The sequence below is a fragment of the Homo sapiens genome, chromosome 16 (genome assembly GCF_000001405.40).
Source record: "Homo sapiens chromosome 16, GRCh38.p14 Primary Assembly".
NCBI lineage: Eukaryota > Metazoa > Chordata > Mammalia > Primates > Hominidae > Homo > Homo sapiens.
The window spans coordinates 78,092,886-78,119,983 of record NC_000016.10 but is presented as its reverse complement, the minus strand read 5'-3'; the positions used below and the strand labels follow the sequence as shown (position 1 = coordinate 78,119,983).

At 45.2% G+C, this 27,098-nt stretch overlaps 1 protein-coding gene across 5 annotated transcripts in view, besides 1 other annotated feature; it reads right to left on the bottom strand.

The window, feature by feature from the left end:
* WWOX (WW domain containing oxidoreductase) overlaps positions 1-20,330 on the bottom strand; it is a 1,113,014-nt gene extending 1,092,684 nt beyond the window's left edge. For 2 of the 5 annotated variants that reach the window (NM_016373.4, NM_130791.5), the window contains exons 1-4: positions 20,099-20,330; positions 11,497-11,561; positions 10,149-10,206; positions 4,830-5,008 (exon numbers count right to left, since the gene is read on the bottom strand). In NM_016373.4, the coding sequence (NP_057457.1) occupies positions 4,830-5,008; positions 10,149-10,206; positions 11,497-11,561; positions 20,099-20,205 (409 nt within the window). In that variant the 5' untranslated portion in view covers positions 20,206-20,330. Of the gene's footprint in view, positions 1-4,829; positions 5,009-10,148; positions 10,207-11,496; positions 11,562-19,784 lie in introns of those variants that run through there. The other 3 variants (NR_120436.3, NM_001291997.2, NR_120435.2) reach the window with 3 other exon arrangements.
* Positions 19,597-20,096: an enhancer, noted in NCBI's record as "H3K27ac hESC enhancer chr16:78133785-78134284 (GRCh37/hg19 assembly coordinates)". NCBI's record gives its function as "activates a minimal SCP1, AML or CMV promoter by ChIP-STARR-seq in primed H9 embryonic stem cells {active_cell/tissue: H9 hESC(primed)}" and the evidence as "EXISTENCE:reporter gene assay evidence [ECO:0000049][PMID:30033119]".

The following is a 27,098-nucleotide window of genomic DNA, read 5'->3' as shown; positions in this document are numbered from 1 at the left end:
GGCTATTCTAACTTTAAAGTTACAACACACATGATGCAGCCCAGCGTTCTAAAGGTTCGCAAGGTGAAAGAAACTTCATCTGGACCAAACTCTGAAAAAAATTTTAAAAATCAAGTTTTAGCCACTGCTGGTTTAGGACTGAAAGTTAAGAAGTTTTATCATCATTACCACAGAAGAGTAGACTGAAAATATCTAATTTGTTCATACTTGCTAATAGCATCTGGGCACAGTGGCTCACACCAGTAATCTCAGTACTTTGGGAGGCTAAGGTGGGAGGATCACTTGAACCCAGGAGTTTGAGACCAACACCTGAGCAACACAGTGAGACCCCATCTCAAACATTAAAAAAAAAAAAAAATTTAATGGATGTCTCACAAACCCTGGATGTCACTCCGTAAATATGATAATAAATCTGTCTGCTTACAGAAAATAATTTGCATGCGCTCCAACAAACATCTAGCTAATTAAGACAATGAACAGAGTAGGTGGTCCCACATTTAGGCATCCAACTAATCCCTCATTAGAAGGATCCTGCCTTTGATGAGCAACATGTCAGCCTGCAGGTAGCAGGGGGCAGCATTTTATACTAAAGTATTTATATGCATAGCCAAATTAGCTGACTGATAGGCTGTGTCTAAAAACGAAGCAGGGACCTTCCTCAATGCGAAATTCCCTCGCCTAAAAAAATTCCCTTTCCTAACACTTCCCAACATTTGCATGTAATGTTCACCGTGCTGAAGGCATTTCCGTTGCTTTTACCAAATCAGAGCCAACAAGCTGCTAACTCCAAAGAGTCGTAAAACACCTGGCCCTTCCTGCTCAGTCTATGTTGAACACAAACAGAAATGAATTCCTCCCTTGTCTCTACTGGTTAGCATTCAGGACTGCGGGGTTCCGGGCCTCTTGATCTCCTAGCGGAAGCTTTGGGTGAAGAGATGGCTTCCCCCTGGATACTGAGATGCTGATCTCCACAGAGAGAGGTCCACAAGCTACAGCTTTCAATCTACAAAGTTCTTCAGGTTCAGAAAGCTGGTTAAACAAAGGTCAAGGAGAGAAGAGTGTTAGTTTCTGAGGAGGCAACATTCTAATCCTTGCAGCTGCCTAAAAAAAAGGCGGGGGTTTCAGGCAACATCCCCAACAGTTACATACAATGTGCTGCCACAGTCTTCCTGGGGCCTGGGGCATTCCATTTGCCTAAATTTCATCTAAGCTGTGGCTAATTTAGAGAATGTTAGGGTGATATCACTTTCAATGAACTGGAGTATCTAACATAGCAGTCGGCACTTTTTTCTGGGAAAGGCCAAAGAGTAAATATTTACAGTTTTGCGAGCTAGATGATCTCTGCCACAACTGGGCGACTCTTCTGGTAACAAGCAAAGGGCCATATTATTTTGGGATAACTGAATATACACAAACAGTAGTTCAACATTATAGGAATGGGAATAAATGGGCATGGCTGTGTTCCAAAAAAAATTCTACTTACAAAATCAGGCAGTGGGTCAGAGTTAGCCCAGAGATGGCAGTTTGTTCATCTCCAATCCAGACAGTTGAATCCAGTCAGCAGCGGTAATACCTGCCTATAAACCTTAATTATAAAACCTAGGACTTCATGAACCCACAATGCTTTATTCTGACATTTCCTCCAAATCCTTTTATCTGTCAGAATCCCTGATTTTTTTTAGATGAATTAAGAATCCCTCCAATTGCCTTAGTAATATCAGTATCAAAAACTCAAAATACAGCTCCGTATCACTTACAGCTGCAGAGAGGAAAATGATGACAAGACAGAGTTTGCTTAGAGGCCACTTCAAAGGGGGCATGGCTCTAGTGCAACCCTAAAGTCTATCAAGGGAGGGATGTCCCCTTCTTTATCAGTGAGATCCTCACCAATGGCAATTCCAACAAAGCAGCGTCATATGGGGCATTAAAAAAAAAAAAGAAAGAAAGAAAGAAAGAAAGAACCACTGGAAATACTAGATTTGCAAATCGGCCTTTGTAAGGCAAATTAGATATCTATGTTTTTATTGTGGAGTCACCACTTTCAAAATAAATCCTGTTATGTTATGTTTCAGCCCACCCCGCCTTAGAGAAAACGGACATTCACAGGGTTAAAGATTTCACGGTTTATCCAAAGAAAACAGGCTCCCTTGAGTGGCCAAAGGAAAGGGAACACCAACACCATTAAAGCTTAGATAGAATATGACTCCTGAATGCCCCAGAAGTCTTGGAAGTAAAGATGCCCAATTCACTCACTCGGCATTCAGCTATTTCATTTTAAATGAGCGGAACTAAAGTAGTGATAGCAATTTATAAATTGGCATGTTTCATAGCTTAGTAGAAGGACTTTATCTAGAAGCCACAGCCTACTTGGGCAAGGACACTTTCTAAGGCAGCCACGCAGGATATAAAAGCTAACTTAGCAAAGCCATGTGCCTATCTGCAGCCTCTTCCTTTCTTCAGACCTGATACCACTGCTGCAGAGTGCAAGTGATTTGTGAGTTTTTGATTGCCTGGAACTTGCAGTACGATATTATTTCAAAAATTCAGAATAAAAATCTTCACCACTCACCTAGACGTATGCTTCCCAAGAGTGGAGGGGAATGGGGTGAGGTGACAGTGTTAAAGGCCATTCCTGCGGAAGGTGACAGCTGGGGAAAGAGCTGTGGGCACTTGAATAGGAAAGGCTGGTCTCCCTAAGACCTTGTGCGACATCTGTGCCATCCTGAGCGTTACAATTTGCCACAACCTCCAACTGGACCGCAGACACCTCCTGCAGTGTCCACAAAATGAATTATAGGTATCAGGAAGGAAGAGTCTTAGGGGGAAGTGGGAGCTGTGAAGAGGCACAAAGAGTTTCTGGCTTTACTCCAACATGTGAGGGCCATTCTCAGCAACCACAAATTTATTCTCAATGCTTCAGAATCTCCTCCTCTCCATCAAGACTTATGTATCTAACTAGATATCACCCTTTTAATATTCTGAACCAACTCTATCAGTCCTGGATTACAATGTCGCAGGTCTGCTGTTGCAAATCTTTGAAAGAGCATTAGCTCTATTCAAGAGTCTGCTATCTAATGTCACATGGAGCAGTTCGAACACTTAACACAAAAAACAATCAGTAGTCACATATCTTACTCATTACAGAAAAAGAGTCTAGCTAGAAGATTAAGAGAATAAGATCTTTAAAGTTTCTGGCTAACTTGTTAAATTGTTAAAAAGACATTTTTAAGCCCTTAAGTCCTTTTTTCTTAATTATTCCACAATTGTATGGGTCCATGCATTCACTGTAACAGTACTTAATATGATCAACAAAATGTATTCTTCTTAGATTGGGGATCCAGCCATTGTTTTAAATATTACGCCATCAGTTTTGACTTCAATGACAATTATATAAAATTTACTCCAATGCAGAAGTTCAGACAAGTGGATTGAACATATTTGGAGCCCAGGATGAGGTATGAGAGTTGATTTGAAATAAAATCCTTTCAATTCTTAAAAAAAAATTTCCATTTGCTTCTTTACCTTCATAGGCAAGTACAGTAAAAAAATTCTCCACTCGGATGGCAACCTGGTAGATTTCACACCTTGTACAACACAATAATTGACCCTTGAACAATGTATTTTTACCTCCTGTGCCTCCCTAATCATGCTAGAAAATATTTCTGCAGCTTCAAGGAATTGTTCAAAATTAAGAAAGAAGTGCAGATGGTTAATGGGTACAAAAAAGATAGAAAGAAAGAATAAGACCTACTATTTGATAGCACAACAAGTTGATTATAGTTAATAATAACTTAATTGCACATTGTAAAATATCTAAAAGGGTATAACTGAATTGTTTATCACTCAAAGGATAAATTCTTGAGGGGATGGATACCCCATTCTCCATGATGTGACTATTTCACATTGCATCCCTGTATCAAAACATCTCATGAACCCCATAAATATAGACACCTTTATATACCCACAAAAAATAAAAATAAAAACAAAATTAGGAAAGAGAAACAAATGAGTAGAGGAGGGCATCAAGGGGGCCGTGTGAGGGCTGCGGGGGACCAAAAGGACAGAGAGAACTTGACAGAAGACAGCCAAATGCAACGTTTCATATGTCGACAAATCTGAAGATGCATATCTAAACTCAAAGCAGGTGGTTCTCACTGATTCAGATACTTATGTAAATAGATCAAAGCAAAATCAGAATAAAATCCTATGAAGAGTTATGGTTTGCTCCCGCCTTGCTCCTGTCTCCTTAATGGCCCATCATATTGAAGCAAGGATACCCTCTTGAGCCATCTACCCATGATAGTCCCTGTGGGTAAACATTGGCAATTAAGAGGTGAAGACAGGAACTCATTCTCCAATTTTATAGAGAAATAAGATCCTGTGCCCAAAAGAAAATGATATGCTCAGTGACCAGTCGAAACCTGTAGTATCCTTTGTTCCAAAGACATAATACCTTGTTGTTCCCCGTATTCTATTACCAATCAATTTTGGTTTGAATAACCCAGGTAATTGGAATATGCCCATACACCATGCAGACCAGGTCAAAAACTCTTAGACGGAGCCTGTTGTCTCTCATCCCTGAATACCAAAATAGCCACAGTCTTTTGCTGAGTGTTCAGCTTTCAGAGACTTCAAGGTCAGCCCCTACACAGGCTTCCATGACAACATTAGGATTTAAAAAGAGGTAGTGATGTTAATGAAACGATATCTGAAAAGGATAAAAGTCATGTTTAAATCAGAGAACCACTAAACAAAATTCCATTATAGCTAGATCTAAGTGGATCTCATTATAGCAGTCCCAAAGATAAATAACTAAGTGAAGAGCCTACCTATTCCTGAATTAGCTCCAGTGACCACAACCACTTTGCCAGTGAAATCCCGGCCCTGGAGAATTTCCATGGCAGTGGTGCTGCCGTCGTATCTTTGCCGGGTGGTTGGCTTGGTCGGATTATCATCCACAGTAAACGCCAGTCTTGGGTCCAAGTAGGTGGTTCTTTTATTTATATGGCTGCCCAAAAGAGAAAGCAGTGAACCCACAGCAATGAACACAGGCATTTATAAATATAAGACAATCTTATACTTTAGGAAAACCCCATTTTTCATAGACCAAAATGCTTATTCCTTAAACCTGAAAGAACTGGGGCCCACTGAATCTATCTTCTGGCCTCCAGAAGGATCACATTTGTGCCAAAAAAAGATAGTCATCGAATCCTTTCCTTCAGAACTGCCTATAACATACGCTGTAACATACAATAACTATTGCCATGTATCCTTAGATCTCAAAAAAGGCTTCTTGAGAAGGTTTTGGGCTTTTATGTAATTCATGTAAATGTAGCTATAAGATCTGTCAGCCACTCTTTTCAGTAGATTTCAATTAAATCTCTTAGCCCTGTGCAAGGGCCTAAAGACGTAGAGAAGTAGAAAACTCAAAATGATAAAGTCTTAGTTGTAAATAAGAAACCTGCCAACTACCAAAATTCTAACGATTTTCATTTTAAGACTCTGCACTCATACCTCCTACGAGCACTCATTTTGATTTGGAATTGATCTAAATCTTGTAGAAATGGTATTAAAATATACTGGAGGCTGGGCACAGTGGCTCACGCCTGTAATCTCGGCAATTTGGGAGGCCAAGGCAAGAGGACCACTTGAGCCCAGGAGTTCAAGACCAGCCTGGGCAACATAGTTAGACCTCATCTCTACAAACACTAAACAAAATTTCAAGTGTGATAGCACACGCCTGTAGTCGCAGCTACTTGGGAGGCTGAGGTAGGAGGATGATCACGTGAGCCTAAGAGATCAAAGCTGCAGTGAGCCATGATTGTGCCACTGCACTCTAGCCTGGGTGACAGACCAAGACCCTGGGTAACCATTAAAAAAAAAAAAAAAAAAAAGGCACATATGGATGAAAAGAGTACTCCTTATAATAGAATTTACTTTTTATATCTTAAATGTATTCTTGGGATATGAGATAAAGACCTCAGAATATCTTAAAAACTATTAAGAAGCCTCTAAATATAGATGAAATTTCATATTTTAAAAGTATGTGTGTGTAAAATTAGTTTAAAATATATACTCATCTCCCTATAAGTACCAAGACTCAAGAGTAATAATCCAACCTTTATTCTAATTATTACCATCCTCATCCTCATTCTATTTATAACAACCTTAATTTGTGACCCCAATATTATACACACACAACAGAGCAGTTCTATGCTAGACTGGCTCAAACTGGCTTACAAGAGCCAAACGTGACTATCTCTTCCCAATTCCTCACTTCACCTTGGCAGCATGAAATCAGCTATGGCCAAAGTATTTATACTGTGGAAACAAACAGTGGCTTTTTTCCCCCTGAAGACCTGGTGCTAAACATTTACCAGCACCCCACTGCAACAGGCTCAGAAAAGTGAGAACTAGCCAGGGGAGCCAATTTCCAGGTTCCCCCCAAAGCCCTTGCTTACTCCTCTAGATTAGACCAGGAGCTGGCCAAATCTGGCCCACTGCCTGTTTCTGTAAATAAAGTTTTATTGGAACACAACAACGCCCATCACTTGTATATTGTGTATAGCTGCTTTAGCACTACAAAGGCAGAGTTGAATCATTGCAACAGAAACCATATGCCCTGCAAATCCTAAAACATATTATCTAGCCCTTTACAGGCAAAGGAGACAGCCCCTGCTCTAGACGGGAGGCTCTCAAGCTAGGGAACATCAGGATCCCCTGGATGACTATTAGAGCGCAGATTGCAAGCCCCACCCCAGTGCTGATTCAGTAGGTCTGGGGTGGGGGCCTGGGAATGTACATTTTTATTGAATTCCCAGGTGATATTAATGCTGCTGGTCCAGGAACCATGCCTGAGAACTGCTGCTCTTGGTTGATTAATACCCATTTCAGGGAGTAACTTTCCAAGCGTGAATGCAAAGGCAAAGACTGCACAGGAGAAAATTGATTTGACTACATAAAAAATTTAAGAAATTCAGTCAGGTGTGGTCGCTCATGCCTGTAATATGAATGCTTTGGGAAGTCAAGGCAGGAGGATCGCTGAAGGCCAGAAGTTCAAGACCAGCCTGGGCAACATACTGAGCCTCAGTCTCTACAAAAAAAAAGTCTTTAAAAATTAGCTGGGCATGGCAGCATGAGCCTGTAGTCCCAGCTCCTCAGAAGGCTGAGGCAGGAGGATCACTTGAGTCCAGGAGGTTGAGGCTGCAGCGAGCTGTGACTGTGTCACTGCACCTCAGCCCTGGATAAGAAGAGCAAGACCCAGTATAAAAAAAAAAAAAGAAAGAAAACTTGGAAAAAAAAAAAAAACATTTTCAACATTTTCAACATACAACCAATGCGTTGATACCCTTAATTAGTTGAGGAAAAAAAACTTTCACAAGTTAGGCAAAAAGCCTTTTAACAAATAATAGGCACTCCCACCTATCCAACTGCTAGACAGCCCCGTCTTCCTGGGGCTGCCTATGGTGGCCTGGGAGACTTCTCTCAAGCAAGCTTTGGCCTATTTGCTCTCAATATCAGTTTTGCACCAAAAGTTCACCAGGTTTGCTCAAAAAACACACATGTCATTTGAACTTGTTACTGTAACTACATTACCAGCAAGCTACTATTACACAAACTGATAACATGGGAGGTGAAAAATAGTGTCAGTGGTATCTATGAAAATGTGGTCGAATGCTTTGGAGAGCCTCAAAGACAAGCAGCTAAAAAAAAAGTTTTGGTTCAATCAACTACAGTGAAAATGCTAGAAAAATACCATAAAACTCCCAAATGATGTAGCAATCAGATTCTTTGAAAATACTGTGTTTGCTCAACCTTAAAGTTGTAGGGTCCAGCCCTACTGGGCTTAGCGGGTGTTCTCCCCGTGTGCAGAGACGAGGGATTGTAATAAATAAAGACACAAGACAAAGAGATAAGGAGAAAACAGCTGGGCCCAGGGTGGGGGCCACTACCACCAAGATGTGGAGACCGGTAGTGGCCCCGAACGGCTGGGCACGCTGATATTTATCGCATACAAGACAAGGGGGCAGGGTAAGGAGGGTGAATCTTCTAAGTGATTGACAAGGTGAAGCAAGTCACGTGATTACAGGATAGAGGGCCCTTCCCTTTTAGGTAGCCGAAGCAGAGAGAGAAGGCAGCATACGTCAGCATTTTCTTTTCTGCCCTTAAAAGAAAGATCAAAGACTTTAAAACTTTCACCATTTCTTCTACCACTATCTACTACGTACTTCAAAGAGGAACCAGGAGTACGGGAGGAGCATGAAAGCGGACAACGTACGTGACCATTGAAACACAGCACCACAGGGAGGGGTTTAGGCCTCCGGATGACTGTGGGCAGGCCTGGATAATACCCAGCCTTCCACAAGAAGCTGGTGGAGCAGAGTGTTCCCTGACTCCTCCAAGGAAAGGAGACTCCCTTTCGCGGTCTGCTAAGTAACGGGTGTCTTCCCAGACACTGGCGTTACCGCTTGACCAAGGAGCCCTCAAGCAGCCCTTATGCGGGTGTGACAGAAGGCTCACCTCTTGCCTTCTAGGTCACTTCTCACAATGTCCCTTTAGCACCTGAGCCTATACATGCCAGTTATTCCTAGGTTATGTTAGTAATGCCACAAAGAGTAATATTAAAAGCTAATGATTAATAGTGTTTATAGTAATGATTGATAATTGTCCATGATCATCTCCATATCTAACCTGTATTATGACTATTCTTATTCTAACTACTTTCTTTATTATACTGAAACAGTTTGTGCCTTCAGTCTCTTGCCTCGGCACCTAGGTACTCTTTCGCCCACATAAAATGAAAGTAGAAATTGTAGATGTTATGTTACAGGCATGCTTAGGGGAAGGAAGACCACACTGGATCCATGCAAGTGGACTCACACTCAGAGGAGGGCTGGCCCGACCCCTAAATGTTGGTGTACTTGAATCAAATACTGAAACGTTTATGTTACATTCATAACTTTAAAAAAAAAAAAAATTCCTGCTCAAATCAACTTCTATTAACCAACCAATCCTAATCCTGTCAAAGACTATTCAAGCTTCTAATTTAAATGTTGACAGTTGTGAAACATTAATTCTCCTCTTAACTACGGTGGTCAAGAGTACAGTCCCTGGAGCAGGTGCTGGGCTCAAAGCCTGGCTGTGCTACTTCTTTGCTGTGGGATCCTTAACAAGTCACTTACCCCCTCAAGTCTGTGTCACTGGCAGTAAGCTAGGGATAATAACAATACTACCTCTCAGGGCACTGTGGGGATCCAATGACCTAATGCTACAGATACAAGATGATTAGAATCAGGCCTGGCTCATGCTATATGTTGGACAGGTGGTTACTATTGCTGCGTGATACCGGAATTTATCCTAAAGACAGAATCAGAGAGGTGAAAAAGTCTTACAGATAAGGATGCTCAATACATTATTTATAATTATAGGTTCTCTATAACAGGAATTTAGCATTAATGTCCAATAGGCAATTTGATAAATTATAGTATATCTGTACAAAATAATAACTCTAGAGCTGCTAAATAGCATCTTTTTGAAAAATAGATATGGATACAAGAAAATGCTCATAATATATTACATGGAAAAAGCAGGTTACTAAACAGTCCACACAGTGCATTCCCTCTTTTTTTTTTTTTTTTTTTTTTGAGAAGGAGTCTCATTCTGTCACCCAGGCTGGAGTGCAGTGGCGCGATCTCAGCTCACTGCAACTTCCGCCTCCTGGGTTCAAGTGATTCTCCCGCCTTACCCTCCCGAGTAGCAGGGACCACAGGCACGTGCCACCACACCCAGCTCATTTTTATATTTTTAGTAGAGACGGAGTTTCACCATGTTGGCCAGAATGGTCTCGATCTCTTGACCTCAGGATCCACCCACTTCGACCTCCCAAAGTGCTGGGATTACAGGCATGAGCCACCATGCCTGGCCTCCCTACTTTTTTTTTTTAAGGATGCGTGTGCGGGGAAAATAGAAGAATAAATCTAGCGATGTTAAAAGTTCCAGCGATGTTAAAAGTAGTCACTTCTGCTAAGATTACAGATACACACTGTTATACTTTGTATTTTTCTACAGTTACTATGTATTACTTTTATAATTAAAAATTCCTATTAAAAAGCAAAACAGCTGAGAGTGGTTTCTTTGCAGACACTTACTCAACAAAAAACACTTGTCCGTTCTCATCAGTTTCTTGTTCCCATCCGTATGGCAAATCTGAAACACAAGAAAGACAGGTCTACAGGTGCCAGGGAGAAGTAAAGACCATCCCTGGGTCAGGAAGGGAAGGAGCCCTCCCAGCCCCGCCCCCAAGCCTGTCCCTCCCACCCAGCAGTTGTCACATCAACTGGCTTTCGTCACATGTTCCAACTGCGACAGCTGCAGAAGGCCCCTGATCCCACCCTGGGCTCCACATTTTTGCCTCTTGTTTTGAAGAAAACCTATTTTATTCCTGATCGCTCTATAAACCATACTGGTTGTGCCAATCCATGGGAATTCTCCCTTGAATGAGCTCAAAGAACATATGTATATGCAGGGCAGGCACCCAACGTCATTCATACGCTGACCTCATATGACATTAGAGGGCACGGCCATTTTTTTTCATGTGCACATGTTGATTCTTCAGCTGGATCCTAAACCTCTTAAGGGCAGGAACCTTCTCATATTTTTTTTTGAGATGGGGTCTCACTATGTTGCCTAGGCTCACCTCGAATTCCCAGGCACAAGTGATCCTCCCACCTCTGCCTCCCAAAGGGCTGGGATCACAAGCACAAGCCACCGTGCCTGTCCCTTTCTTATACTTCTATTCCGTGGATCATACATTATCTCAGAATCACCTAGAAGTCATGGTAATCTTTACGAAATTTCCAAATACTTATATATTTAATTCCATAGTATAGCCAAGAACAATTTTATAAACACTGCAACGATAGGAAAACATCATAAACTGTGAATCAAAGGCCTCAATTATTTTCTGGTTTTTGTTGTTGTTGTTGTCGCTATTTTTCAGACAGCATCTCACTCTGTCACCGAGGCTGGAGCGCAGTGGTGTGATCTTGGCTCACTGCAACCTCCAGCTCCTGGGTTTGAGCACTTCTCGTGCCTCAGCCTCCAAAGTAGCTGGAATTACAGGCGCATGCAACCATGCCCAGCTAATTTTTGTATTTTTAGAAGAGATGCGCTTTCAACATGTTGGCCAGGCTAGTCTCAAACTCCTGACCTCAGGTGATCCATCCGCCTCGGCCTCCCGAAGTGCTGGGATTACAGGCATGAGCCACCACATCTGGCCATTTTGGTACTTTAAGACCAGTAAGAAATCATCCTCACTCCACCCTATGATCTCATCATCTTCTTCTGCCAAATCCCATAAGCTCCTCAGAGTGGGAGTCTGGTTCTCTACCAGAGAGCCCTCCCTAAACACACAATAACCTGTCACCTCTCTGCCAGTGACATTTCCTCATCTACTTAATGCTTCCATCCAAGATCCTTAGACAACAACATACAAACCTCCTGCCACTCGTTTTCTTTTTCCAGTTTTTGGATGTTCCCACTGAGTCTTCTCCTCGGTGTGACTGTTAAAAAACAAAAAATCCACAGTAATAAGTAAAAATTAACTCTTCTAAAAAGTAATCAATTGTATTAAATTTTTTCTCTCCCAGATAGCCAGATATAAGAAGGAAGTAGGGGGAAGAAGGAGAAAGAGGACTGTGACCCCAGCTACGGGGTCAACTTTAGGAGGTTTGCTGAATCACTCAAAATATCTAGAGGCCGTCGGGAGCGGTGGCTCACACCTGTAATCCCAGCACTTTGGGAGCCCTAGGGGAGCAGATCACAAGGTCAGGAGATGGAGACCATCCTGGCCAACATGGTGAAACCCTGTCTCTACCAAAAATACAAAATTAGCTGGGGACAGTGGCACGTGCCTGTAGTCCCAGCTACTCGGGAGGCTGAGGCAGGAGAATCGCTTGAGCCAGGGAAGCAGAAGTTGCAGTGAGCCGAGATCACGCCGCTGCACTCCAGCCTGGCGACAGAGCAAGACTCTGTCTCAAAAATAAATAAATAAATAAATAAATCTAGAGGCATTTTGCTGTGTATTTGTTTTGGTTTTATTCCACGATGTAGGGACAAAATTCATAATATCTAATTTATATAATCTCTTAAAATGTTTATTTATTTGTGTTTCTTTTTAAAGAATCAGGGTCTCACTATGTTGCCCAGGCTGGACTGGAACTCCTGGACTCAAGTAACCCTCCTATTTCAGCCTCTTGAGTGGCTGGGACTAGAAGCCCGTGCCACCTTGCCCAGCTAAAATGTTTATTCTTTCCACAGATGTAACTTCAAAGTGTTTCATTAAGCACTGGTTCCTAACTGGTCCCAAGAGGTAGTTAAGAGATGCAGTAAGACCTTCCCATAGGGCATCTAGCTGTGCGCTGTGCACCTTTGGTCAAGTGACCCCACTCCTTAATCTCCATCCCCTCATCTGCAAAATGGAAATAATCCTAGCACTGGTCTCAGGGGCTACTATAAGAATATTGTACATCCAGGGTTTCGCATAGCACTTGGCATACAAAAAGCTCTGAGAAATGTAAGCTGTTATTCTGAACAAATCAGTTACACAAACTAGTCCTATTTTTGCGTCAAACTTAACATTTCATTTCAGACCACCACCCAAAGTTATAATTAAAAACATAGGTCAATAACTAGAAACACGTGTCACCAGGTAATAAGGTATCCAGGAAAACATACAATTATTTCAAAAGGGAAACAGCCAGGTGCTACAAGAGGTATTCGAAGGGTAGGCTGCGTTTCCTAAAAGTTCACCTACTCATGCCAACCCAGAAAGTTATATTATTTAATCAGCAACATCTAGATGATAAGATGTGAACATTCTTTCCCTATCAATTATTTTACAGAAAATAAATACAGAGAGCACGAATTTTCTAAAAAATTCTACAACTTGCAAGCAAGGTCTTTTCATGAACTGCTGGCTTCTGGTCTGTTTGACAAAGTCTTGGCAGCTGGGTCTCTGTCATAGTGCAGGAATGCCTCACTCAGCACGCTGAAGACCTGAGCAGCCCATGCTAGCTGAGTCCAGCCAGTCTCCTCAGGGCTACTGCCACCTCACAGAGCTGCTGAAAAGGCGAGACACATGACACCTGTGACAGTGCTTGGAGAACGATTAAAACCTTGTACCAGCTACGGTATCAGTAGCAAGGACAAACTCCTACTTTGTACATCAACCACCATCCAATATCACTTGCAAAAAAAAGCAGCTCTGTGGCCGGGCGCGGTGGCTCATGTCTGTAATCCCAGTACTTCAGGAGGGCAAGGCAGGCGGATTACCTGAGGTCAGGAGTTCGCGACCAGCCTGAACAACATGGAGAAACCCTGTCTCTACTAAAAATACAAAATTAGCCTGGCGTGGTGGCACATGCCTGTAATCCCAGCTACTCGGGAAGCTGAGGCAGGAGAATTGCTTCAACCCGGCAGGCAGAGGCTGCGGTGAGCTGAGATCGTGCACTCCAGCCTGGGCAACAATTGTGAAACTCCATCTCAAAAAAAAAAAAAAAAAACAAAAAAAAACCGTTCTGACTCTCTGGCTCTCTAGTAAGGATAACCCGCTCTCTGCTGGCACAGTGGGAATATTGGTATACCAACTCCTGCTTCTCCTTCAAAATGAATGGCAACAGCAATCAGATAAACCAAGCATTGGCAATAACATGAAACCTTCCAGCCCCTTGCAGAGCTGTGTCTCAAGCTTCTTCAAGAAAGTTAAGAGATGGACTTGCATTTTCCTTGCCTGCCATTAAAAGCAGTCTTTATCTCATAGGCACACATCAAATGTGCTTGAAGCCTGGCTCCAAAAAACTCTGCCCTCAAGAATCCATGGAGTGGCGGGGTACGGTGGCTCACGCCTGTAATCCCAGCACTTTGGGAGGCCGAGGCGGGAGGATCGCTAGAGCCCAGGAGATCGAGACCAGCCTAGGCAACATGGCAAAACCCCATCTCTACTAAAAATACAAAAATTAGACAGACATGGTGGCACATGCCTGTAATCCCAGCTACTTGAGTGGCTGAGGCATGAGAATTTCCTGAACCTGGGAGGTGGAGGTTGCAGTGAGCCAAAATCACGCCACTGCAGTCCAGCCTGGGCGAAAAAGCAAGACTCAACCTAAAAATAAAAAATAAAAAAATCCACAAAATGACCCTTAACAGTGGAAGCTGAGCCTTGTTGGCAGGCAGGCTGGCATAGAAAGAGCCTCCCAGCCCTTAGAAGGTGAAGCTGGGCCCTCAGACATGTAGCCTCATGCCTGGCCCACAGCAGGCGCACAAATGTAAACAAACAGAATGAATACTTTCCAAAGGAACTACAAAACTCACTCAGAACAGTTTTTATTTATTCAGAAAGACATTTAAAAAACAAAACAAACTCTGTCAACCTACGTTCTTGACTTTCACAGAACATGCCTGAATCAGGGTTTCTTATTCTCACTGCTGGTGGCACTTGGGGCTGGATCATTCTTTTTTTTTTTTTTGAGACAGAGTCTCACTCTGTCACCCAGGCTGCAGTACAGTGGTGCAATCTCAGCTCACTGCAACCTCTGCCTCCCAGGTTCAAGCAATTCTCCCGCCTCAGCCTGAGTAGCTAGGATTACAGGCACCTGCCACCATGCCGGGATAATTTTTGTATTTTTAGTAGAGATGGGGTTTCACCATGTTGGCCAGGCAGGTCTCGAACTCCTGACCTCAACTGATCCACCTGCCTCGGCCTCCCAAAGTGCTGGGATTACAGGCGTGAACCACTGCACCCGGCCTGCATCATTCTTTGTTGCGGGGCTGCCTTGGGCACCACTGGCCTCTGCCCATCAGATGCCAATACCCCAGTCCCATAGCTGTGGCAACAGAAAGCATCTCCAGACATTGCCAGCCGTCCCCTGCAGGACACAACCATCCCTGGGGAAGAATCCGGAACCAGCTGAAGCAGAGAGAGTAATTTGGTCGTGAAGATTCTGAAGCCCAACTGCCAAGGTTTTCTGGGTCTCCCATTTGCCAGCCACTCTGCCCTTGAAGAAGTCATTTAATCCCATGCCTCAGTTTCCTCAACAGTTTAGATGGGGACAATAACAGCACTTACTTCTTGGGGTTATAGAGAACCGAGTGAGTTAACACGGGAAGAACTAAGAACTGTACCTTTCAATAGAAGACTTTTTTTTAATAAATATAAAAATTAATTAAAAGATGTTCTTTTTAATTATAACCTTAAATGACTTTTTAATGAAGAGAAAATTAGAACACATGTCCCCTAAGCATTCTCCTATTCTCCTTTAAATAGAAGCCGTCTTTGATTTTTTATTCTTTCAACGAGCTTGTCATTTAAAAAGATAATTAAGAGTAATCTAAACTTAAACCAAAGGATTCAAATTTAAGTGAACATCATATTATGTGAATACCACACTTCCACGTATGGGGTGTTTTCTGTTAATTTTTTTTTAGACAAGGTCTCATTCTGTGGCCCAGGCTAGAGTACAGTGATGCAATCATAGCCCACTGCAGCCTCGAGCTCCTGGGCTCAGGCGATCCTCCCACCTTGGCCTCCCACCATGGCCAGCCTATGGGTGTGTGTGTGTGTGTGTATGTGCGTGCATGCGTGCGTGCGTGCGTGTGTTTTTTGAGCACAGTGTAAGTTAGCAGGGAGATCTAGAGTTGACAGTGAGGACAGCCAGTGTGTGTGTGTGTGTGTGTGTGTGTGTGTGTGTGTGTGTTTTGAGCACAGTGTAAGTTAGCAGGGAGATCTAGACTTCACGGTGAGGACAGCCAGCCCTGTGGACACAGGCACCATTGAGGCCTCTGACTGCCAAAAGGCCTGAGCTTCATAAGAGGCACGGGGAAGGGCAAACAAGGACGGCTCTGACACTGAGACCTTGTCCCTCACTTCCCATCTCCCATGAAGGGGCTGCTCTGAGACTGTGAGGGGAGAGGGGTAGAAGAAAGGCCCACCAGCTCTCTTGGGTTCCCGGTCTACCTCGACCTCACCCCTGGGAGCCCACCCTGGTGGGCTTTGGAGTGCTAGGACATGTGTGCCTTTGAGGCACACAAGTGAACCGTGAGGCAGGTGGGAAAGCAGGAGAGGCCGACAGCACCCACACAAGACCGGGTTCCACCAGACCCCGAGGTCTCAGTGGGAGCTACAGCCTCTATCCCTGGCCATGGCCCTGCTACAGTAGGAGAAACAATATGGAAAAGAAATGACTCAAAGAGCAGCCTCCTAGAAAGAACAACCACAAAGTTTCCCAAACCCCAAGAGAAAAACAAGTGTCACTTCCAGAGTCAGGAATGAAAAGGGGTTGGAGCCAGCGCAAAAATTAAAACTGAAAAGAAAAGAAGGGCCAGGATGCTCACAGATCAGGAGAGATCAAGGGAATGTCGGGTTAGGATGGATCAGAGGCATCCTAAGCTAACACCCAAAGAATTTCAGCCTTTCAACCCTGATCCAGAGAACTGAGGGCCAGCAGGGACGGACACAAGGTCCAGAGAGTGAGCCCTCCAGCTGAGAGCCAGCCAAGCCCTGGCATCTCAGCTGGTGTATACAATAAATAGCTAATGCACGGGGGGCTGAACAACTAGGTGATGGGTTGACAAGTGCAGCAAGTCACCATGGCACAGGTTTACTTATGTAACAAACCTGCACATCCTGCACATGTATCCCGGAATTTAAAGTTAAATTAAATTAAAAAAAAAAAAAAAAAAAAAACAGCGGAGCCAGAGAGGCCAGCTTGAGATTTAAGACACTAGTCGGGAGGGCTGGAGGAAAGGCGTTTGGAAACCATGTATGCACCCGAGTCCCCTGGCCAGGGGCCACTCAGGAAGAAAGCAGATGGGAGAAAGGCCAGGCAGCAGGAAGGCAGGCGCAGGGGGCACGCAGGAGCAAGGGAGCCCCAGGGCCCTAGCGCCAGGCTCCAGGGCAAGCCTGCAGGGAAGCAGAAGCACCTCTGGGGCTGAGTGGCAAAGGAGGAGACGCCCCACAGAGCCAGAGGCAGAGGTGGGCTTAGGAAGCCGGAAGCGGGTCATGTGCATCTTTGTACTCTGGGGCCCAGTGCACCACCCACCCACCCACAGAAGCCTGCGGCTGACCCTCCCAAGGTGATTCATTTACTCATCCCACAGGGGCTCATCTTATGGCTTCTGGGTGCCAAGCACTGGGGACACTCAGATGAACAAGCTGCCCCATGACATCTGCAACCTGGGCAAGGGAGACAGGGCCAACAAGGAGGAGTACACAGCCAAGGCTAAGCACGAAGAAGCAGAGAAACAAGGTGACTAGTACAAGGTCGAGGGGACACCCACAGTTAAGAAGGTCTCTTGGGCAGTGACATGTAAGCTCAGCTCTGAAGGATGAGAAGGAGCCTTTCCCCAACAGATGTACAGGTGAGAGGAACAGCAAGTGCCCGCTCAGGAGCTTGCCTCCGTCCCTGCAAAGGCTACTGGAGCTCTGCTGCTGGAAATGTCCCTTTAATTCTCCAGAGCCAGAAATTCTTCCAGAATTCACAAGCTGAATGAATGCCACTCTCTGGCTCTGCCAACAGAGCCCAAGCTTCTCGGCAAGGCACAGAAATCCTTGAAATGGGTCCTCCCTTCCCTGCCTTAACCTTCACATTCCTGGACCCTCACAAAGATCACAGGCCCCTGGACAGGCCATGCAGGGGGTCTCTCCTCTCACTGTTCCCTCTACCTAGACTGCCCTCCTGCCCCACCCACCTCTACTTGAGCTCAAAACACCGCTCTGGGCTTGGCACAGTGCCTCAGGCCTGTGATTCCAGTGCTTCGGGAGGGAGGCTGGCTTGAGTTCAGGAGTTCAAACCAGCCTGGGCAACATGGTGAGACCCCATTTCTACAAAACATGTAATAATTAGCTGGGTGTGGAGGCACACACCTGTGGTCCCGGGTACTCAACAGGCTGATGCGGGAGGATCGCTTGAGCCCAGGAAGTGAAGGTTACTGTGAGGGTGCCACCATATTCCCTCACGACCCCCCCAACTACCTACACACACCTCATGCCAGACACACTACTTCCTGGTATACACACTGCGTGGGGACGCTCCTACACATGTCACTGTGCCCTAATAAGATTGGGTCCTAAGGATGACAACTGGCTCTTATTTGCCTCGGTATAACCAGTGCCAGCCAAAGGCCTGTCACATAATACCTGTGTGTGTCTTGAATGAACTCATCAGAACTTGGTTGTTTTTCCTCTACCTTGCCACCAAAGGCAGCAGTGGTTCACATCCTTGCATAGATTAGAATCACCTGGGAGGGAAGATTTTACAACCTACCAAGGGAGAGGGGAGGGGCCAAACCAATTAAATCAGAAATTCTGGGCTGACGCAGTGGCTCCTGTCTGTAATGCCAACACTTTGGGGGGCCGAGGTGGGCGGATCACTTGAGGCCAGGAGTTGGAGACCAGCCGGGCCAACAGCGCGAAATTAGCCAGGCCTGGTGGCGGGCGCCTGTAATCCCAGCTATTCGGGAGGCTGAGACACGAGAATCGCTTGAACTCGGCATGCAGAGGTTGCAGTGAACCGAGATCGCACCACGGCACTCCAGTTTGGGCGACGGAGCGAGACCCTGTCTTTAAAAAAAAAAAAAAAAAGGCCGGGAGCGGTAGCTCACGCCTGTAATCCCAGCACTTTGAGAGGCCGAGGCGGGAGGATCACGAGGTCAGGAGATCGAGACCATCCTGGCTAACACGGTGAAACCCCGTCTCTACTAAAAACACAAAAACTTAGCCGGGCGTGGTGGCGGGCGCCTGTAGTCCCAGCTACTCGGGAGGCTGAGGCAGGAGAATGGCGTGAACCCGGGAGGCGGAGGCTGCAGTGAGCCGAGATCGCGCCGCTGCACTCCAGCCTGGGCGACAGAGCAAGACTCCGTCTCAAAAGAAAAAAAAAAAAGAAAAACCCTCTGGAAGTGGGGCCCAGAAAAAGGCTCTTACAAAAAAAGTTTCCCAGATGCTGAAAATCAGATTTACATCCATGTTTCTCAAAACCAGGTGATATTCCACCTCACCTGGAAAGCTTAAAAAAAGAGACTCCCAAAGTTGAGAGTCGGCTACAGTAGGTTCTCTATGGAGACCCAAAACGTGTATTTAGGACATTTCCTAGGTGATTCTAAGGTGCCGATATAAGAGGCACTGTCGTATCTTAAGAGCAATCAAGGAACGACAGTTAAGGAACAGAGAGTACCTACTAGACACGGTGCTATGTGCTTTACGCACAGTGCCTGAACTGACCCTCGTATCAACCCATTTTACAGGTGAAAAAACCAAGATTAAACGTTATTTCAATGGCCCAAGGTCACACAGTTAAAGATGAAGGCTCTGCTGGGGTTTCCAAAACTTTCCCAGGAAATGATAGTGAAGCTATCTAGGACTGCTACTAAAAAATACTCCTGGCTAGGCGCAGTGGCTCACGCCTGTAATCTCAATTCTGGAGGCTGAGGCAGGTGGCCTGCTTGAGCCCAGTAGTTCGAGACCAGCCTGGGCAACATGGTGCGACCCTAGTCTCTACAAATACTTAAAAAATTAGTCGGGCATAGTAGTGCACGCTTGTAGTCCCAGCCACTCAAGAGGCTGAGATGAGAGGATTGTCTGAACCCAGTAGGTAGAGGCTACAGTGGGCTATGATGGCACCCCTGCACTCCAGCCTGGATGACTGAGCAATACCGGTCTGGACAAAACAAAACAAAACACAACAAAACTCCTATCCCTGCAACCCAGAGCCTGCAGGAGGGAGCTGAGCATGTGCGCTTTTTAAAACATCTTTATTTTTTGGCGGGGATGAGGCCGCTTTGCCCTCGCCGCGCCGCGCAGTGCTGCATCCTGAACAGCAGAGGGCGCGCCGGGAAGCCACCAGGTGACCCCCGCTGGACCCGAGGCCCACCAAGGGGGCCGGCCCCTACTGGGAACCCTGGACCCTTTTCCCTGAAGCTCCTTAACAGTTACTTTCACTTTGCACCGCACGCGCTGCGCTGGAGTGCGCGTCCTCCCCGCGCAGGTGGCGTCCGTGGGCTGTGCAGGGTCCCAGGTGCGTCCGCGGCCCCACTGCGGCCCCCTTACTTGGCGTAGTAAACCCAGCCGTCCTTGGTGGTTCTCTCCTCCCAGCCCGGAGGCAGCTCGTCCTCACTGTCCGTGTCGTCCAGCCCCGCGTAGCGCAGCGCTGCCATGGCTGACTGTGGAGGCACCTGGCCCCCCTATCGCCCGCTGCCGGGTCCACTCGCTCAGGAACTCACTCCCGCTCCAAACGAGACCCGCGCGCGTCGGGGCCCGACCGCTCACGCCTGCGCACTGCGCCCTCCAGGGGCCGCTCCGCCGACCACGAAGCTGAAATCCAGTCTCCGCAATATCGCGACGGCCGGCGTCAAAGGGGCAGGGCCTGGAGAGGAAGGCGGTGAAAGTGCCTAAGAGATCGCGCTGCCGCCGGGCTAGACAGCAAAGCCGGAGAGCGCTCCGAGGCGCTAGAGATAGAGCGGAGCCTTGTCAGCCTCCCCGCCGCAGGGAAGGGGCGTGCGCATCCAGTTTCGGGCCAGGACTCCGCCCGTTGCTGGGCGACCCGTAATCACTTCCGCGTTGTTCTGGCCAATCCTGCAGGAGCCCGGCAATTGGATATGGGAAATGTAGTCCAGGTGGCGCCTGACCAAAAAGCGGCGCCCGACTAAAAAGCGGCGCCCATGCTGTTGTCCTGGGCTTCTGTCTCTCCTTGCCTTGGGGTCTCGTGAAAGTCCGTGATCACAAACCTTCCAGGGCTTGCCAGCATTCGTGCTGATTCACAACCTTTGTTTTGCATATGAACACAATGTTAAAATATAACCTGGAGAACTTAAAACTGCTGATTCCTGATTTCCTGGTTTTAGAGAACTTTCTTTCAGCCAAAACACATAATAGAGACTGTGATAATAGAGACTGTTGTTTAATAGAGACTCATGATAATAGAGACTGATGATAATAGAGACTGATTGATAATAGAGACTGTTGATAATAGAGACTGATGTTTACGGAGCACTTAATGTGCGGTCCAGGCCAGAAATGCACAGACATCACATGTAGCTGACACCTTTGTGTAGTGGGCACAACTCAGACAGGGTAGCTAGGCCGGGCTCAGTGGCTCATGCCTGTAATCCAAACACATTAGGAGGCTGAGGCAGGAGGATCACTTGAGGCCAGGAGTTTGAGAACAGCCTGGGCAACATCGCAAGACCCCTGTCTTTACCAAAAATAATTATTTTTTTAGTTTGCCGGGCGTGGTAGTGCACATCGGTAGTCCCAGCTACTCATTGAGGCTGAAGGGGGAGGATCACTTGAGCCCAAGAAGTCGAGGCTGCAGTGAGCTATGATCGGGCCACTGCACTCCAGCATGGACGACAGAGAGAGCTGCTGTCTTTAAAAAACTGCCTCACCTTTAGAGAATTTCCTTTAGTAAGTCTGGAATAGGTCCAGAATCTGGAAAGAAAGGGAGGGAGGGAGGGAGGGAGGGAGGAAGGAAGGAAGGAAGGAAGGAAGGAAGGAAGGAAGGAAGGAAGGAAGGAAGGAAGGAAAATAAAAGAAAGAAAGGATAGCTAATTACCTGAAGAGGCACAGGAAGAGAGGAGAGCCGGGGGATTCCTGGCAGTTGAGATCGCATCACTCCACTACAGTTATTGACTCATTTGTGTAGTCCCGACTAAACTGACAAAGCACACCCGGGACTTCTTTCTATTGCCAGCACTTGGTAAATGCTTCAACCTACAAATTTATTAAATGAACAAATGAATGAATGATGTGATTCCTTAGGTTTGGTTCTCTGTGAATCAATCTAATTAAAAACAAAATCCTGTATTTACAAGGTACACTCAAGTCCTCTTGGACCACCAAAAGATATCCTATAAATGTTCTGTATCCAAAACCTCAAACATATCTTCAGCTTGTGCCTAAGGAGTTTTCAGAACATTCCCTGTTTGGCACTTGCTCCCCAGCCCCATGTTATAGGGAAATCTACTGACCGTGATTTCTCAGGCCTAGGTCCCAAAGAATGCAAGCCTCCATCAGAATAATTACATATATTTGATTCTTCTGAGAGAGCAAAAAAATAAAATTGAAAATAAGGAATTTTAAAAGTATGTATTTTAATGGGCAGTGTATGGGAGGGGCAGCTGCTTTTTGTCTTCATGTTCTGAAATGGATGATTGCTTAGGATTCCTGCTCTACGTACTCATTAGCGGAGACACCTGCCTTTCTACATTTGACCAACCAAAAACAAGCTTAACAAAGCACTGTTTTGTTTCAACAGGCCTGCTGACTCATATTAAACCTATCGTAAGATTTTTTTTCCAAATCCACCTGTGTTTAAATCTGCTACCATTGGATTGGGCGTAGTGGCTCACAACTGTAATCCCAGCACTATGGGAGGCCAAGGCAGGAGAATTGCTTGAGCCCAGGAGTTCAAGACCAGCCTGGGCAATATAGTGAGACCCCCCCCCCCCCCCCGCCGACCCCCACCACCCCATCTCTACAAAAAATTTAAAAGTTAGCCAGTGTGGTGGTGCATGTCTGTAGTCTCAGCTATTCGGGAGGCTGAGGTCGGAGGATTACTCTAGTAATCCTAGTATTTACTCCTAGGCTCTAGCATAGGAGTTCAAGGGTACAGAGAGCCATGATTGTACCACTGCACTCCAGCCTGGGTGACAGAGTAAGATTCTGTCTTAACAACAACAACAAAAAAAGATAAATAAAAATAAATCTGCTACCACTAATCTGTTGCTCCACTGCTCCCCTCAATTTAGCCCCTTTCCCCTCTCACCTAAGCCTACTTATTCCTTTGCTATTTGTAAGAAATTCAGTCATAAGATCCCCTGATTGTGGGGAGAGGAAGGAATGAGGTCAAACTGATTAGCCTCAGTTTCTCCATTCATTATCTTTGACTCTGTTCAGTTTCACAAGGACTGTCTGCTTAGGTTTATCTTGGTTTCCTCTGCCCAGAGCTTCTGCTGGCATCTGTTACCTGTAACTTGGCATCAGCCCACAGCTAGTGATATACCATGGTGTTCCCCAAACTGGGTAACGGTCCCCCTGGAAGAAGTTTAAACTTCAGGGTCTATCCTGTGCTGATCCTACCACTTTGGAAATTCCCTCTAAGGCTTCTCCCACTGCTGACACCAGGGTTTCTCAACCTCGACATTACCGATACTTGGAGCCAGATCATTCTTTGTGGTGGGGCTGTACAGTAGGATGTTTAGCAGCATCTCTGGCCTCTACCCACTAGATGCGAGTAGTAGATGCCCCTCTCCTAGTTGTAACAACCAAAAATGTCTCCAGAAGTTGCCCGTCTTCTCCCAGTGGAGAATCTATACTGACAATAAGTTAGTAAATGAGTCACTTATGAATCACAGGAGTTCTGCTGAGATTCATTTCAGTCATTGAGGAGCCTGCTCCTGTCAGGAGGTTCACATGGTGGTCCTGGGATGCTGGTGGCTCCAGCACAGGCTCTGATTACTGAGTTCTGTAACATGGTCTGGATGCCTCCCACCTTGCCAGCCCCTCTGCAGGTCAGAGACATCCTGTGGAAATCTGGCCGGCTGGTCCAGGCTCCAGTAATGGCGGGAATGGTTATCATGATCACATTTTCTTCTCCATTTTTTTTTTTTTTTTTGAGACAGAGTCTCACTCGGTCACCAGGCTGGAGAGCAGTGGCACAATCTTGGCTCACTGCAATCTCCACCTCCCGGGTTCAAGTGATTCTCCTGCCTCAGCCTCCCAAGTAGCTGGGACTATAGGTGAGCGTCACCACACTCAGCTAATTTTTGTAATTTTAGTAGAGACGGGGTTTCCCCATCATCTTGGCCAGGCTGGTCTTGAACTCCTGACCTTGTGATCCACCCGCCCTGGCCTCCCAAAGTGCTGGAATTACAAACATGAGCCACCACTCCCGGCCTCTTCTCCCTTTCTTATAACTTATTTGTTGGGTTCTATGAGGTTAAAGAAGTAAGACATGCAAGTGTTGGGAACTTTTTCCTCTTGAGGTTTGTCTCCTCCCTCCCATGGGCTACATTTTCTGCTCTCTCCTTACTGGCTTCCTCTGTTTACTCAGTTTCTGTCCCCCTGAACTTTAGCTTTGACTTTGCTCTGATGAGGATCTATCAGCAGGCAAGCCCTACTTAACTTGGTGAGGATTAGATTTTAATCGGTTTGAGAAGGCTTATGTTTGGGAATGAGCCAATGTTCTCCAAATGTTACCCTAAGAAAGCCTTAAGAATAGTTTGTTTTAAACAATCCCATTAAAAAGTGGGCAAAGGACATGAACAGACACTTCTCAAGACATTCATGCAGCCAAGAAACATATGAAAAAAAGCTCAACATCAGTGATCATTAGAGATATGCAAATCAAAACCACATTGAGATACCATCTCATGCCAATCAGAAGGGCAATTATTAAAAAGTCAAAAAACAGCAGATGCTGGCAATGTTGTGGAGAAAAAGAAACACTTTTACACCCTTTGTGAGAGTGTAAATTAGTTTAACCGTTGTGGAAGACAGTGTGGCAATTCCTCAAAGACCTAGAGGCAGAAATACCATTTGACCCAGCAATTCCATTACTTGGTATATACCCAAAGTAACAGAAATCATTCTATTATAAAGATACATGGACGCATATGTTCATTGCAGCACTATTCACAATAACAAAGACATAGAATAACCCAAATGCCCATCGATGATAGACTGGATAAAGAAAATGTGGTACATATACCCCATGGAATACTATGTAGCCATGAAAAGGAACAAGATTATGTCCTTAGCAGGCACACGTATGGAGGTGGAAGCCACTGTCCTCTGCAAACTAACACATGAACAGAAAACCAAACACCACATTGATATGGTTTGGCTGTGTCTCCACTCAAATCTCAACTTGAATTTTATCTCCCAAAATTCCCACATGTTGTGAGAGGGACCCAGCAGGAGGTAACTGAATCATGAGAGCTGGTCTTTCCCATGCTATTCTCGTGAAGTGAGTAAGTCTCATGAGATATGATGGGTTTATCAGGGGTTTCCACTTTTGCTTCGTCCTCATTTTCTCTTGCCACCACCATGGAAGAAGTGCCTTTCACCTCCCGCCATGATTCTGAGGCCTCCTCAGCCATGTGGAGTAAGTCTAATTAAATCTCTTTTTAAATTGTAAGTCCAATTAAACCTCTTTTTCTTCCCAGTCTCGGGTAGGTCTTTATCAGCAGCATGAAAACAGACTAGACATGTTCTCTATCTGGTAGCTGACTGATGAAAACACACGGACACATGGAGGAGAATAACCTACAATGGGGCCTGTCAGAGGGAGGCAGGAGGGGAGGAAGAGCATCAGGAAGAATAGCTAATGGACTCTGGGCTTAATACCTAGGTAATGGGAAGATCTGTGTAGCAAACCACCATGGCACGCATGTACCTGTGTAAAAAACCTGCACATCCTGCACATATACTCCTGAAATTAAAGTAAAAGTTGAAGAAAAAAAAACAAAACAAAAGAATGGTTTGTTTTTGTAAAGACAAATGAATCACATTGATTATTAGCAAGGAGGTTAAAAAAAAAACAGCAATGTCTAGTTACACAACTGCACACCAGATGGCCCTATCCACCCACGATTTTAAAGGCTAAAGCCCAGCTCCTAACAAGGGTCTCTACATTTAAACTTTCTTTTCTTTTTGACTGATTACTTCTGCAATAACTGACAATTTACGCACATAAGATTGATCAGATTTTACTGAACACAATTTGGCATTACTCAAAAGAAATGTATGCAGGAGGCACAAAGTTTTAGTGCAACATTCCTGGAGCCACATTTTATTAGTTTATTATCATTACCCTGAAGATGATCGTTTCCTTCCCCTCCCAACCTCAAATACACAAACACCCCGACAACTCTGCAAACCTGATTTAACTTAAATTGCCATTCCTTGGAAAATTAAGCCTGATGCTTTGGTGCAAAACTCAATGTACCAATGAGATCTGGGAGGCATCCTAGCTCTTCGGATAATTTCTCATTGAGAAGTAACCAATAAGGAAGAATGTTGAACAGCAGTCTTATGGAAAACTCTTCTAATCAATGCGTCCTTATTTAGGAAGATATGTTTGTATTTCATCTATTCATTCAAACACACAAATGAAAAAAAAAAGCTGTCTCTGATATATATATAGAGAGAGACTCCTTATATCCAGAAATAACAGTGAATTAGCAGAAGGTCAACAGTCAACCCAAAGAACTGTGGATTGAAGGTTCTAAGACAAATTTAAACCAAGACCTGTAAGGTATGCTGAAACAGGGAGAGTTCCCATGTTAGTTTCCTGTAATTTATCTTTTGAACCCAACTTATGTCACAAACTGTGACAGTGGCCAAGCCCTTCAACTTCCCTTAGTTTCATTGTCTGAAAAATGAAAATAATAGTAATGCCCACCTCACAGCCGTGTTACGATATTAAATAAGTCAACACATGTCATCATATATATGATGGGGTCTGATCAGGAAAATAAGCCAGGATTAACATTTGGATTTTTTTTTTTTTTTTAAGAGACAGGGTCTTGGTCTGTTTCCCAGGCTGGAGTGCAGTGATGCAATCATAGCTCACTGTAACCTCGAACTCCTTGGCTCAAGCGGTCCTCCTGACTGAGCCTCTCAAAGCACTGCCATTACAGGCATGAGCTCCCAACACCAGCAAACATTTCGAATTTGACAGAGGGAATTCATTACACAGGGTATGGAACAGCTGAGAAGACAAATTCGGGCTAATGATGCAAGTGAGAGATGAGCCAGAATGGAAAGTCATTTCCAGGACACAGGCTGGAGGGACGAAGAGGAGCTATGACAGAAGCTAGGGAGCCAGAGGCAAGAAGGGGGCTATGTGGAGTCCTAATTAGGAAAAAGGAGTCAGGCTGGCAGGACCAGGGGAAAGCAAAGAGGAAGCTATAGATCGGCCTTTCTTTACGGCCCCAGACACATGGCCCTCCTGCACAGATAACGCACACAGCACACAAGTTTCCTGCTTGTCATCTAACTCTTCAATTTATCAAACACTTCGGCTGACAGAAGAATGCAAGTTAGC